The sequence below is a fragment of the Homo sapiens genome, chromosome 12 (genome assembly GCF_000001405.40).
Source record: "Homo sapiens chromosome 12, GRCh38.p14 Primary Assembly".
NCBI lineage: Eukaryota > Metazoa > Chordata > Mammalia > Primates > Hominidae > Homo > Homo sapiens.
The window spans coordinates 100,407,150-100,422,531 of record NC_000012.12 but is presented as its reverse complement, the minus strand read 5'-3'; the positions used below and the strand labels follow the sequence as shown (position 1 = coordinate 100,422,531).

The 15,382-nt window shown below is 39.9% G+C and overlaps 1 protein-coding gene across 2 annotated transcripts in view; it reads right to left on the bottom strand.

The window, feature by feature from the left end:
* The window catches only part of SLC17A8 (solute carrier family 17 member 8), a 64,982-nt gene continuing 50,076 nt past the window's right edge, over nt 477–15,382 (bottom strand). For both annotated transcript variants that reach the window (NM_139319.3, NM_001145288.2), the window contains 3 exons: nt 9,652–9,762; nt 4,376–4,503; nt 477–2,717 (listed from right to left, as the gene is read on the bottom strand). In NM_139319.3, the coding sequence (NP_647480.1) occupies nt 2,373–2,717; nt 4,376–4,503; nt 9,652–9,762 (584 nt within the window). In that variant the 3' untranslated portion in view covers nt 477–2,372. The remainder of the gene's footprint in view (nt 2,718–4,375; nt 4,504–9,651; nt 9,763–15,382) is intronic.

The following is a 15,382-nucleotide window of genomic DNA, read 5'->3' as shown; positions in this document are numbered from 1 at the left end:
CCAAAACTTTGATTGTTGGAAAGGATCATCAGATCTTTCTTGTCTCAAGAACCCTGCACCTACAGGCCTCCTTCCCTTCCTGCTAGAATCCATGGTTTGCATCCATGAATTGACCTACAAATGGACATTCGCAGCAAAATGTACAATGACTTGCAAATGGCATCTGTCTGGTGTTAAAATGTAATTATTTATCCATTGCTACCTATGCAGAGAAAAACCCATCACAACAAAATAATGTATTTTTTAGTTTTTAACACCTTGATCCATGACTTCATTTAAAAAAAAATACATATTATAAAGGCAAGTTACAGGAAAAACGTGGGTTTTCTGCATATGATACCAACTTCAAATGATGCGATAAATACAACTTTGTGTCACAATATACAATACTACCTTAAGGATTATCGTGAGTTTTTAAAATACAATTATTTGACTTTACTAACACACACACAAAATAAAACACTGGCTATCATAAATTGCTAATTTTTTATTTTTTATTTTACTTAGAAAACAGCACAACTTTCACAATAAGTTCCAGGGATAATGGATAAAAATGACATAGCATGTTTTCTTTTCAACTGGAAAGTCCCCCAAAATGTTAAAAGATAATGATGATGACAGCTATTTACGTGGGCATTTTCTGCATGCTAGGAACTGTTTTATGGGGCTTGCATGGATTCACTCATTAAAGAGATTTAAAGATGTCTACTAACATAAATTGTATGCTAGTGACATAAAGAATATTATTTAATGAAGAATCGCAATTTTTCCCCAAGATTATTCCATTTATAAAATACACTACAACTCAGCTAGTATCACTGGGGACCAGAAATACATGTGGGAGAAATTAGAAAAAAAAAAAAAAAAAAAAAACACTTTACAATAATAAGCTACAAGTAAATCTATAATTTTTTCCGTATTATATTTTTCTTCTGAAAGTAGGAATAAAATGTTTAAAATCAATGAACAGGAAAATAATTTTATTTTCAAATAACACTTTAGATGCCAATGTTAAAATTTTAAATATATCTAAAAGTATCCATGTAATTGCCTTATGCAATCAAAGGTGAATTTTTCAACAGTAACTGTAGGTCTAATTGCCCCAAATGTTTTCATTGTAGTATTTCTCTGTATAACTACTGCTATATTATTGTGATTTCCCTGAATATCATTCCAAATAGAGTCATCATGAATACTTTTGATACAAAATCATAATTTTATACAATCTGATGAAACTTCCTAATATAATCTCCAGCAGAAAAGGCTAAAGAGATACATTTTTTAAAAATAGAAAATTCTTTCAGAAGAACTTTACCTAAGAAAACACATGAACCTACTTCTTAAATTATTAAATGTCTTAAAAGTTTGTAAGTAGTTTGGGACATCATTTAGCTACATTCTTAATATTATGGAAAGTTGAAATTTAATAGCCAATCTCTTGTTTACTGCTTTCAGCTATTTTGACCATCAGATTTCTAAAAATTTGGCTCTCTTGCTTAGCTTTTCTTTAAAAACCTATTTGAATCTCTGATGTAGTCTTTGACCCTTATTACTTTAAAAACTATGGAGTCACAAAACCATTTGACTCTTCAGATAACATAGAACACTGAGGGTCTTTGAATCTAGCCTCTCACACATTTGAATCCCCTCTGCCTCATCAACCCAAATGTTTCCCTTCCCCAACACCTGCTAAAGTGGTGAGTTACTCACAATTACTCCATTTTCAGTTTTCATTATTACAAATGTCTTCCCTACACTGAATGGAAATCTTCCCTAAAACTGCCACCTATTGAGAGCTTCAACAGTCTCAGCACTGACCCTGGCAGATGACCTTGGGCAAGTTCATTTCTTGTTGCTTTAGATGCCTTGGTTGTAAAATGGGGATAAGAAATGTGTGTCATAAAGGTGTGGAGATTAAATAAGAGTGTTTATAAAGCACCTGCCACAACGTGGGGTTTATTGGGAATATGAAGCCCTCCTCTGCATGGCTACCCTAGAGATGTGGTGGCAGCTACTACTACTGTTTACATTCCTTCTGGCCAAACATCCCAATTTCCTTCAATGTTTCTTTGAACAACATGGTATTGTCTCCTTTTTCTTCTAGTCATTCCTTTCTGAATAAGTTTAGCTCTTTGAGAGAAGGGTCAACTGTCAATTCAAAAAATATGTATTATCAACTATGTTATCAACTGAGCGCAGCTCCTTACCTATACATGTCATTGAAAGATAATATTTCTCTTTTCCCTGTTGCTGGTTAGATCTTCTCCCCTCCCAATATTTGGACCTCTGGCAAGCTGGGCTACAAGAAAGGCAATAGGTATGGATACTTTCTGTTTCTAAAGTAAGGAGAAGACAGAAGTGCCTCTCAGACATTAGGATATAGTTGAGAAGTTTCTCTCTTCATTCTGGTAGGATGTCAGCTCTTCCTCATCAAGGGTCGCTCCTCTCTGTCCTTTCCATTCCTTCTTCTGGACTTCACAATTCTGGGAGGTGGCTCCATAAGACATCTTCTTTTTGGGACTCGCAAAACTCTCATGGTTGAGTTCTATCTCCTCAGCTAATTCGTCCTGGTCAATGATTCCACATTTCTCCTCAGAGAGATTCTCTGGGTCAGCCCACTCCTGTTTCTCCCCAGAAGCAAAGACCCCATAGAAGATCACACCACTGTAATGCACCAGGGCAGCTATGAGGAACACATTCTGCCATTCTTCACGGGTCTAAATAAGGAAATAAAGTGCCAATTAATGTTTTAACTAAAACTAGAGATTACCAGTATGTCCTGGAGGCCTCCACTGTGAAAAAGCACCTGCCCATTTGGAAGGTGATGCTCTAGAGGCTCCTTGGGCGGGAGGACGTGTGTCAGAAGCACCATCCGGGATTCAAACCAAATTTAAAAGAAAAACTTAAAAAATGAAAGTTAAGACAACAATGAATATGAAAGTTAGACAAAACAATAAATACGTATTTTTTTAATTTAGAAAATTCTTTTTTTTTTTTTTGAGATGGAGTCTCGCTCTGTCACCCAGGCTAGAGTGCAGTGGCGCGATCTCGGCTCACTGCAAGCTCCGCCTCCTGGGTTCACACCATTCTCCTGCCTCAGCCTCTGAGTAGCTGGGACTACAGGTGCCCGCCACCACGCCTGGCTAATTTTTTGTATTTTTAGTAGAGGCGGGGTTTCACTGTGTTAGCCAGGATGGTCTCGATCTCCTGACCTCATGATCCACCCGCCTTGGCCTCCCAAAGTGCTGGGATTACAAGAAAATACATTTTAAAATAAACAACATATACAAATATTAATACCTGCAGCACCATTGCATAGCTTTTTGAATACTCAAATGGGGTTTCCCTTCACATAGTCAGCTAAATTAAAATTGTTTTAGGAACCCACCGTTTTAAATATCAGAAGTCTCCTTCTTGCTTGTTGTTGGATACATAACAATATTTGAGCCATTAAAGTTCTCACCCTTGACTGACAAGAACTTTATAATATTTTCAGTGTAAAAAAAAGTATGTCAAAAAATAATGGGAATTTGTGTCTAAGGTTGGGGGAAGATATCTTGGATTTAATAGTCAGGTTATCAATCCTATCATTTCATGAACAGAGATGGAAAACATGAATTCTCTGCCTATAAAATCCTACCTTTTCTGTCAAAAAGTAAGAAAATTTATCTCACACTTTCTTCTGCAGGAAGCTGCAAAAACTTCTGAAGTTATATTTGTAATAGGCAATCCAACTAAGAAAATAGATGGGGGAAAAAAATCCCATGGTATCAAAGAATTCTTATTTGCAGAAAGCAGCATCTTGAGACGTTTCAGTGACAAAGATAAAGAAATCATGTGGGCTGTGGTTGAACTCTGGATGGATCTGCCTCTACCATCCACCCTTGTCTAAATTCACAAAGGCTCAGTAACAACTGGGTAGGTTATCAATGTCCTGTTTATTTTATTCTTAACAAGGAAGTAGAATAGCACTCATCTTTTTATGCTGAAACATGCTAAGCAATGGATGGAAATAGGCTATAAGGTTTAATCACTGAGAATGAGAAAACAATCTTCAGTAACTCATTTATCCCAAGTTGACTGCCTCAGTTTCTTCTTTGGGTCTCTAAACAGTTTCTATGGCCCATCCCCTCTCCCCAGACTATTATTCCTCAATTGAGAAAACATAGAACAAAACAACAACTAGCCTTGGTGCCATTGATAAGCAATGATTTGAAAATCAGAAGAAGGAAGAAAAAAAAAAGAAGTTCAGCTGACTCAGTCAAGGTCAAGGACATACACATTTACAGACTGCAGTAGAGCCTTGAAATCTCAAGTTTGTGTAGAGCTCCAGTCCTCTGATATTGTAACCCATAGCCACAAAGGAGACCTTTACCTTGTGCCTGGTCATTGCACCGACAATGAGGGGACAGACCATTCCAGAGAGGGTTCCCACTCCGTTTGAGATCCCCATGAGAATGCTGGCATAGCGTGGGGCAATGTCCAGGTGGTTGACATTAAAACCTACAGTGAAGCCAAAACCTCAAAATCAGAGTCAAGAACAGAATTTCAAATATGCTTTGGAAAATACTCAGTTGCCCCAGCCTTTACCAATCTGTTTGGTTTCCTCTAGTATATGACTAGTTTCCAGACCAAGAGGACTGGGTTCAAGAGGCTGTGTCTGCACAAAGCAGCACTGGTAGACAATGCTGGAATTGATTATGGATATCTATCAAGGGCTCTCTCTATAAAGAGAATTATGGCATCTCTACCTTGTAGGTTCTGAATTCCAAAATACGGTGTTTGGCACAATATTGAAAAGCCTAAAGCCTGAATCACATTTATTCAGAGTAAATAATCATACAATCACATACAGTATGACTAGACCAAACCTTGCTTTATAATATTCCCACTCCTACCCCTGACTTACTCTTAAAAGGCAGCCAAGGGTAAGCCTACTTTATTGGCCACATGGCCACATTTTCACACAATGAAAAGGGTGCTTTTTAATGAAACATTTGCACAAACATTGGGAGAACCTTCTGTAATTTATGAAACACTTTCACACACCTACTTGATTTGGAGTCTGTAAATCTGGACTTGAATCTTATTTCTACTATGTAAACAAGTAATTTGGGGGCCTTTGTTTCTTCATCTCCAATATGAGGATAATATTACTATTCACTTCACAGAGGTGCTGTGATAGAGACTCAGGGGAAATAGGTATGTGAAGCCCTTGGCAAATATCAAAGCTATGCTAACTACCACTACTACTACTGCTACCTTCTGCTGCCATTGCAAAGTAACTCCCTCTCTTTGAGGTCTTCTATCAAAAGATAATGCTGCTGGCCGGGCATGGTTGCTCACGCCTATAATCTCAGCACTTTGGGAGGCTGAGGCGGGTGGATCACCTGAGGTCAGAAGTTCAAGACCAGCCTGGCCAACATGGCAAAACCTCACCTCTACTAAAAATACAAAAATTAGCCAGGCATGGTGGCACATGCCTGTAATCCCAGCTACTTGGGAGGCTGAGACAGGAGAATCACTTGAACCCAGGAGTTGGAGGTTACAGCGAGCTGAGATCTGACTTTGTCAATATATTGCAGGGGTGCATGTTCAAATCAGACAGACCTCAGTTCTGGCAGCTTAGTTGAGATGCAAGCCTAGACCAAGGATTTAAACTTCCTGAACCTTAGTTTCATCTACATAACGGGATAACGATTCTTATAAAATTGATGTAGGAATTAAGTTAAATAATGTATGTTAACTACATGGTGCATAGACGTGTAAACCAACATGCATGCTCTTTACAGGTGGTTAGCCATCCGTCTTGTTTACCACCATCTCCCCTGAACTAGCAAAGTGCCTGGCACATTGTAGTCACTCAATAAATAGTTGCTAAATTAATTACCAGCTTCAGCTACTGAAATTATAGCAAGGGGTTGTAGGCTTTATTCATCTTTTTGTCTTCCTTTGCTTTGCTTTTTATTTCTCTATTCTGTGCAAAAAAAAAAACTGAAAATAGGACTTAAAACATTTTTTTGTTCTAATCTGGCACACTGGTTGGTTGTCTTTCCTACTTCCCTTCAGGGAGAAATTTTGAGAAAACTTTTTGGTAATAATAAACATACCTTATCTTTCAGGTCAATGTGCCAAATGATCAGAATATAAAACAGCTGCAAGTTCATTAATCTTACCATGGATTTGAATGTGATAAACACTTTATTAGAAAAGAATCCAGAGATAAGAAGCAATTAATATGATTGTTGAGTATTATGCTCTGATACAAAGCCTGGGCATCTGCATTCAGCTAAAGATAATGTGGGAAAAGCCATTTAGGTTTCTAGCTGCACAATCCTGACATTTGGGGAGGGGGGAAAATCACTGAGAAATTGAGATATTGATAGATTTTTATAGCAGATAAAAAAATTACACATAAACTGAGAGAATCTATCTTCTGTATAGGACATTTCCCAAAACAGGCATCACTCATCTCTTGCCTATTTTTAACTTCATCTATCTCAGCAGTCTTGTCTATAATCAGCTCCTAAATTGTGCCAGTCAGTCTTCCCTGACATCTATGTTTATTCCTTTAAAAGTTGGCAGACAGTAGATTCTGAGGAATTATTGCCCCTGTGGCTGCAATCCCTCCCACAGTGTCATTGCTGGGACCAACAGACCTTTATTCCACACTCCCAGCCACTTCACTCGGCAAGTTAAACCACACTTTGGTTTCCCCACCAATAAAGTGAATATAGCAATACCTTTCTCATCAAGGTTGCAATGAGGATTAAATGAAATCATGTTTAAAAAGTGGCAAGAAGGCCAGGTGTGGTGGCTCATGCCTGTAATCTCAATACTTTGAGAGGCCAAGGCAGGAGAATCACTTGAGGCCAGGAGTTCGAGACCAGCTTGGGCAACATCGTGAGACCCTGTCTCGAAAAAATATATATATATCTGGAAGTGGTGGCACATGCCTGTAGCCCCAGCTACTCAGGAGGCTGAGGCAGGAGAATCAGTTGAGCATGGGAGGTAGAGGCTGCAATGATCCGCGATCATGCCACTGCACACCAGCCTGTGTGTCAGAGCGAGACCCTGTCTATTTTTTTTTTTTTTTTTGAGACAGAATCTCTCTTTGTCACCCAGGCTGGAGTGCAGTGGTGCAATCTTGGCTCACTGCAACCTCAGCCTCCCCAGTAGCTGGGACTACAGGCACATACCACCACAACCAACTAGTTTTTGTATTTTTAGTAGACATGCGGTTTCACCATGTTGGCCAGGTTGGTCTCGAACTCCTGATCTCAGGTGATCCATCTGCCTCGGCCTCCCAAAGTGCTGGGATTATAGTCATGAGACACTGCACAAGGCAAGAGACCCTGTCTAAAAAAAAAGGAAAACAAAAAAGCAGTTTATGTGATTTGGAGTATTGGGTTTCTCTCCTTCAGATTGTGACTTAATTGGCAATCGGGGGAAAGGAAGCAATATGAACTTGAACATTTCAGTATCTCTGGGAACAGGATATGGATCTCTTTTGCATCACAAAGTTATCAAGGGAAGGCGTTCCTCCGCTTCCTACTGGAAGCAAATCGTGATTGCTCTGCCCTTGCTACTCAAAGTGTGGACTGCCCTGCAGCAGCAGCAGCTCTGGGGAACTTGCTAAAACTGCAGAATCTCAGGCTCCACCCTAGAGCTACCAAATCAGAATCTGCATTCTGAAATATCTTATGGTGATTTCACATAACACTTTGAGAGGCACTGGGCTGGTGTGTGTACTAATAGAACAATAATGGTGAACACTCATTAATTTTGTTATGCATCTGGCACTGTGCTAAGGACTTCAAATAAATACAGCTAAGGTTTTTATTTGAATAAGTATTTCCACTAGAATGTAAACTTTATGGGGATGGACACTTTCATTTATTCACTGCAATATCCCCAGTGCTAAGAATAATGCCCAGCCCACAAGAAGTGCGGGGAAATACATGAATTATCTAAGTTTATCCTCCCAACAACCCTATGAGGTTGCTGTTTCATCTCTCCAATCTCTAGATGAGAAAACTGAAGCTTGAGAGTTTTCATAATTTAGCAAATTTTTTATTTTATAAATAGTAAATAGTAAAGAGGGCCTCAAACCCAGGTCTATGCATCTCTAAACCAAATTACTTAGCTGCAAGTTACTTTTAATTTAGACTTTTACTTTATTTTCTAATTTATTCATCAACTCTATTTATTTTGAAAGATACAAGCCCCTGTCTTAGGGCAGTTTAGACCAGAGGTTCCATATTTTTCTATTCTGGGACACTAACACTGTTTGATATTTAAGGCAACCTGGAATAATGGAAGGAGCACGGCCTTTGGGCCAGGCAGAACTGTTCTGTCATCCTTCCTTTGCCACTAACTGTGTGATATTAAGAAAGTATCAAATTTTTCTGAGCTTTAGTAAAATAGTGAAAAACCCAGTAGCATAGTGATATACTACTACTTGCTTCACAATGTTATGATATATATACAATATATGTGAAATTTTCTTTAAGTAACCATTTTTTATTTTTATTTTATTTATTTATTTTTTTCTTGAGAAGGGGTCTCGCTTTGTCATCCAGGCTGGAATGCAGTGGCACGAACTCAGCTCACCGCAACCTCCAACTCCCAGGCTCAAGCCATCCTCTCACCTCAACCTCCTGACTAACTGGGACTGCAGGTGTGCGCCATTACACTTAGCTAACTTTTTGTATTTTTTGTAGAGATGGGGTTTTGCCATGTTGCCCAGGCTGGTCTTGAACTCCTGGGCTCAAGTGATCCATTCGTCTCGGTCTCCCAAAGTGCTGCGATTACACGCGTAAGCCAGCGCACCCGGCCAGTAACCATATTCTTATTACGATGTTTTAAAGATAGACAAACAACTAAATTTCACTCTTTGACCCAGTTTTGCATAGGAAGCTTCTGATATGATTGCACTCTGGCCTTTCTCTCACATATAGTAGACTGGTTTCTGCTCCTGTAAAATGGGGATCGTAATAGCACTGATACCCAGCAGGGTAGTTGTGAGAGAGACAGGGCTTAATATATGCAGATCTCATGGAATATTCCCTGGCACAGAATCTGTGCTTGGTCATCGCTAGCTCACATCATCATTGTCATTATTCTTTACCCTGTTCAGAAAGTCACTTCCCCTCTATGGACCCGCATTTTCTTGTTTGGAAAATGAAAGCAATGGAGTAGACAAAAATCTAAAGAAGGTTTTCACTCTTAAAAAAACTTCTGATCCTATGACTGTAATGACACTCGCAGTTCTCTAGCAAGAGGGCGAGGCTTGAAAAAGTCACAGGAGCCTCTGTCAGGTAGGGTGACATGGTGCTAAAGTATGAAAGTCCACTTCACCCAGGACATATGCTTGGGCCTCTGCTCGTGTCTCAGAAGGGTCATCTGCACTTTGTGTCTTTTCCCGTAACAAAGTAAGTAGGAAAAATTCCACCTTAACTGAGCTCCCAAGCCCAGTTCTCAGTGATCTTACAAAATCACCCCCACTAGATCACATTCTCTGGACGGTGGTCCTGCTCTCTGAGAATGGACTGGCTACTGAAAGAAGGTGCTACAATATCCTTGTCCTTCCTTCTTCCTGGGACTTGTTGAATCTATAGTCAAGATCTGGAAACCCAAAGGACACATTACCTGAAATAGCGAAGCCACTAAATCCTACAGCAAGTACCAGAAAGGAGATAGCCACCCCTTTGGTATGCGAAAAGCCAACCACCAGGAGTAAGGTTGCCTCCATGCCAAAACCTGCAAATGGAAACAGCAAGGGAAAAAAATGTCATTTTCATATCGGTCAACCCAAGTTCATTTATTTATCAAATAAGAACTAACCTATAATTCCACAGACCTAAGTTTATTTTGTTTGTGTCTATGTTTTTTTTTTACTTTAAGTTCTGGAATTTAAGTTTTTTTTTTTTTTTTTTTAACTTTACTTGAAGTTCTGGGATTTAAGTTCAGGGATACATGTGCAGAATGTGCAGGTTTATTACATAGGTATACATGTGCCATGATGGTTTGCTCCACCTATCAACCCATCATCTAGGTTTTGGGCCCCACATGCATTAGGTATTTGCCCTAATGCTGTCCCTCCCCTTGCCCCCTAGCAGGCCCCAGTGTGTGATGATCCCCTCCCTGTATCCATGTGTTCTCATTGTTCATCTCCCACTTATGAGTGGGGAAATGCAGTGTTTGGTTTTCTGTTCCTCCACAGACCTACATTCTGGTACAGTGCTTACAATGCCACCCAGGACTTTCATGACTACATGACTTTGCTAATATTCCCTGGGTGTTCACAAACTTTCTAACATTATCGCGGTGCACCTTGAACACCACACGGTCCCAATAGGTTCCAATGATGCTCCTGAGATGAGGGATGTTAATTATTAGTTGCTTCATGGGTAGCTGTCCCTGCCATTGTTAAATACTAAAACTCTACTATATAACTGTGGTAATGATTCCCCTTTGACTAGTTATGGCCTTTCCCTTAAAAGTAAAATGACAACACTCTAATATTTATTGCCAAAAGCAACCAGAAAACTGTAGCAAATATCTGAAACAAAAACAAACAAAGAAACAAACAAAAACAGCACTTCACCCCTTGTAAAGCAAAAGTCAAAATTTTTCTATTTCAAAGTTCACCAAGCTCTCAGGCCTCTTAAAAAAAAAAAAAACAAACAATACATGAGAATTTTGCACAGAAAATATTGCAGAACAAAAGTACTTTCTGTTCCTTTCATTCAGAATAAGTGAGTCTAGCACAATAAAAAATAAAAAGAATGAGGAAATTATGAAGAAGTTCCTTCTCACCCGAAAAAAAAGTTCAGCTGACAACAGACAGAAAAATGATATAAATATCATTTCCAAGTATATAGAGTGCCTTAGGAGGGGGAAGAGACAATTAGTGGTGCTTCATTTGGAGACTGTCTGCTGATTCCAGACATCTCCACACAATTGTTCTACAGTACCTCAAAGGCAACATGCCCAAATCAATTCTCTCATCCCCTATTTTTATTTATTTATTTATTTATTTTTTCTTTGAGACAGAGTCTTGCTCTTATCACCCAGGCTGGAGTGCAACGGCATGATCTTGGCTCACTGCAACTTCTGCCTCCCAAGTTCAAATGATTCTCCTGCCTCAGCCTCCCAAGTAGCTGGGATTATGGGCATGTGCTACCACGCCCAGCTAATTTTGTATTTTTAGTAGAGTTGGGGTTTCACCATGTTGGCCAGGCTGGTTTCACCATGTTGGCCAGGCTGGCCACTCCTGACCTCAGGTGGTCCGCCCACTTCAGCCTCCCAAAGTGCTGGGATTACAGGCATGAGCCACCACCCCTGGCCTCTTCCCCTATTTTTTTACTCCTAAACAAACAAGCAAACCATCACCAAACCATCGCCACCACGTGCTTTCTTCTCCTCTAAATTAATCTTCCATATTCTGTGTTTAGAACCCAATCTTTAGAGTCAAACTGGTATGGGTTCACTTTCCACTTCAAAATCACTAATTTTGTGACCTTGAACAAGTTACTACACCTCTTAGATTCCTCATCCAAAAGCTGGAGATAGTACCACAGCCTTGTGAGGTATCGGAAAAGTAAATGAAATTGGTATATGAGGTACTGAGTGTGGCACATGGGCACAGCTCAACAAATGATAGCCAGAAGTCCGATGCAGAAACTTCAGAACTACCTTGGACTTCTCCTCCTGCCTGAGCTTTCATATACAAATCTGCAGGTTTGGCCTCGGAAACATCTGTCCAGTGCAACTGCCACTTTCCCCTCCCCTGTCACTGCTTTAGTTCCAGGCCCCGTGACCTCTTACCAGGAAAACTGCAATAAGCCACCTTTTTTTCTTCTTTTGTTTGAGATGGAGTCGTGCTCTGTCACCCAGACTGGAGTGCAGTGGTGCAATCTCAGCTCATTACAACCTCTGCCTCCCGGGTGCAAGTGGTTCTCCTGACTCAGCCTCCCCCGTCGCTGGGATTATAGTCCACCACCACGCCCGGCTAACTTTTTTTTTTTTTTTTGAGATGGAGTCCTGCTCTGTCACCCAGGCTGGAGGGCAGCAGCGTGATCTTGGCTCACTGCAAGCTCTGCCTCCCGGGTTCGTGCCCTTCTCCTGCCTCAGCCTCCTGAGTAGCTGGGACTATAGGCACCCACCACCATGCCCAGCTAATTGTTTATATATTTAGTAGAGATGGGGTTTCACCGTGTTAGCCAGGATGGTCTCAGTCTCCTGACCTCGTGATCCACCCACCTCAGCCTCCCAAAGTGCTGGGATTACAGGCGTGAGCCACCACGCCCAGTCTAATTTTTGTATTTTTAGTAGAGGCCGGGTTTCCCCATGTTGGCCAGGCTGGTCTCCAACTTCTGACCTCAGGTGATCTGCCTGCCTTGGCCTCCCAAAGTGCTGGGATTACAGGCCTAAGCCACCATGCTCAGCCACAATAAGCCACTTTGGTAGTCTTCCCAACTCGTCCTCCTCTGATGCATTCTCAATACCACTGTCTTTCTAAGCCACACACCTCATTATTTGCTCCTGTGCTTAACGTGTTTGTCATGAGCTCCATATCATGAGTATAGTGTTCTATAATGAATACCTCCTGCTGTTCCAGTTTCATCTTCTTCCAGCCCTCATCTCTTTGCTTACTGCCCCCATTCTGTGGATAGCCCTCTGTGCCACAGACATACTCCTCTATTAGCTGTTTTCTAACCACACAATACTATCTCATGCCTGTACATATTTTCACACATTGTTTCTTTACCTGGGATACTCTTCTCTCATCATTTTCTCTTTTTCTGGATAAATCTTACTATTTTTAAAGTCCAGATTAAATAGTGCCTCCTCTAGAAAGCTTCCCTAACAACCCTCTCCCTACCCTCAACCAATGAAGCTGACATCACCTTCTCATCATTTTATAGAACTTTTCAATATTGCTTTGTAACTTTTCATTTGTGTTTCTGCCTCTCCCACAAAACTGTATATTTAACACAGAGTCTGTCTAGCATGTAGTATGCACTCAATAAATAACGTTTGGCCAGGCATGGTGGTGCACACCTATAATTCCAGCTCTTTGGGAGGACGAGGCAGGCGGATCACCTGACGTCAGGAGTTCAAGACCAGCCTGGGCAACATGGCAAAACCCCTTCTCTACTAAACATATGAAAGTTAGCCAGGCATGGTTGCATGTGCCTGTAATCCCAGCTACTCAGGAGGCTGAGGCGGGAGAATCACTTGAAACCGGGAGGTGGAGGTTGCAGTGAGCCAAGATTGCACCACTGCACTCCAGCCTGGGCAACAGAGTGAGACTCTGTCTCTAAATACATACATACATACATACATACATACATACATACATACATACATACATACATAACGTTTAATGAATTAATGCAAAGGAAAGGAAATGGGACCCAGAAAGAAGAAAATAAGATTCACAAGCTGAAGTACTTACCGTAAATGATGGTTAAGTTATTAATATTTACCTTTTTGAACCTATTTCTTCAACACTACTATAAAGAAGGGCAAGAACTAATAATTGTTTTAAATGGCTTCTAAAGAGGATGAAATGTAATTAGGGAAGTCTTACTTTTAAAACTATAGGCTTTATATCATTGCTACTTGTTCTTAATTTTGTTTCAACATTTAAGACTACACATAGGGAAAAATAGCTAGTGTTTCATATACTAACTATATGTGTCTTAGAAGTGCCTATCCTAAATAACAAGGCATCTGGCTGAAACTTCTTTTATTTTTACACTCTGAACAGAAGCATGCAGAAAGTCAATTCCCCCAAAGAATTAGAATGATGACATTGTATAAAGAATAAAACTTACAAATGATACATCAGTTCATCTGTAAGAAAAAAAATTTTGGCCAAATAGCAGATTGCCAGTGGAAAAAAAAGCATTTAAGAGCCTAAATGGTTTCTACTGACAGTTAAAATACTAGAGACAGGGCTGCATGTTTCAGGAGCTTAAGGATAAAATTTCAACTTTAGGGGTAATCAGGAGATCCTTAAAATTGAACCTATTTAGAGTTGACAAGAAAAACAAAACTAGGACTTAAAGGCCTAAGAAATATTTTATTTCATATTAAAATAATCTGAAGTTCACACTTGCAACTGATTCAGCCAGAATAGAATTTTTGACCTCAGTTACACTTTGCATGTTCTATAGAGGGGGCAGGACAAGAATTTGGCATCTGTCTTTAAGCATCATAGACGTAGACCCTGATTCAGAATGAATTGAACATCATGTCTTAAGTGATCTGTTTTGCTTTAAATGATTTTAATGGCATATTAAAATCTATGGAAATAAAAGATGACAGGCTCCAAGATATGTGTGATCCTTCTCAGATGAGAAATGCCTTCTATATTTCTTAGTAGGAAACCAAAAAGCCAACCAAAATTCTCTGGAAGATCATACCAGTGCTTCATCATTTCCAAATCAACCTGCATTCTTCACTGATGGCACAAAACTTTGTTTTCATGTAGTTATCTCTGCTCTAGCATCTCTGTATTTAAGCAGAAAAAGTGGGACCATTATGGTCTTTTTAAAAATTTTATTTTCTATATATAACTCACTGGTCCTACTATGTCAAAATATAAAAGAATGGCCGGGCACGGTGGCTCATGCCTGTAATCCCAGCACTTTGGGAGGCCGAGGTGGGTGGATCACAAGGTCAGGAGATCGAGACTACCCTGGCTAACACGGTGAAACCCCGCCTCTACTAAAAAATACAAAAAATTAGCCGGGTGTGGTGGCGGGTGCCTGTAGTCCCAGCTACTCGGGAGGCTGAGGCAGGAGAATGGTGTGAACCTGGGAGGCGGAACTTGCAGTGAGCTGAGATCACGCCACTGCACTCCAGCCTGGGTGACAGAGCGAGACTCCATCTCAAAAACAAAACAAAACAAAACAAACAAACAAAAAAAATATATATATATATGAACATGAAAAGCCATGTGAAGAGGTATTTTTTAAAGATGGGAGATGAGGCAGAAAGATTCCACATATGCCTTCTAGTTTCTGCAGAAAAAAAACTATTTCCTCTCAACAGGCACTTTGTTAGCAATTAAACATCTTTGAAAGTTCTCATCACCACAACATAACATAATCACCACCAATTATGGAGAAACAGCAGAGGTACTGGGGCAGAATTAAATAGGAACAAGACATTCCCACAAAATATGCTCAAGAATATCCAATGCATCTGGGTTTAGAAGAGGTTGTGCAAGTAGTGTTTAAAATCCAGAAACTTATTTAAAGTTGCCAGTTTAGAAGTACATTTTTTTGTCCAAAGGAAATACAATCACAGATATTTGTTAAAGAACTCTTTGAAAAACTTCTGTGTTTTTTGTGTCTTGAACATA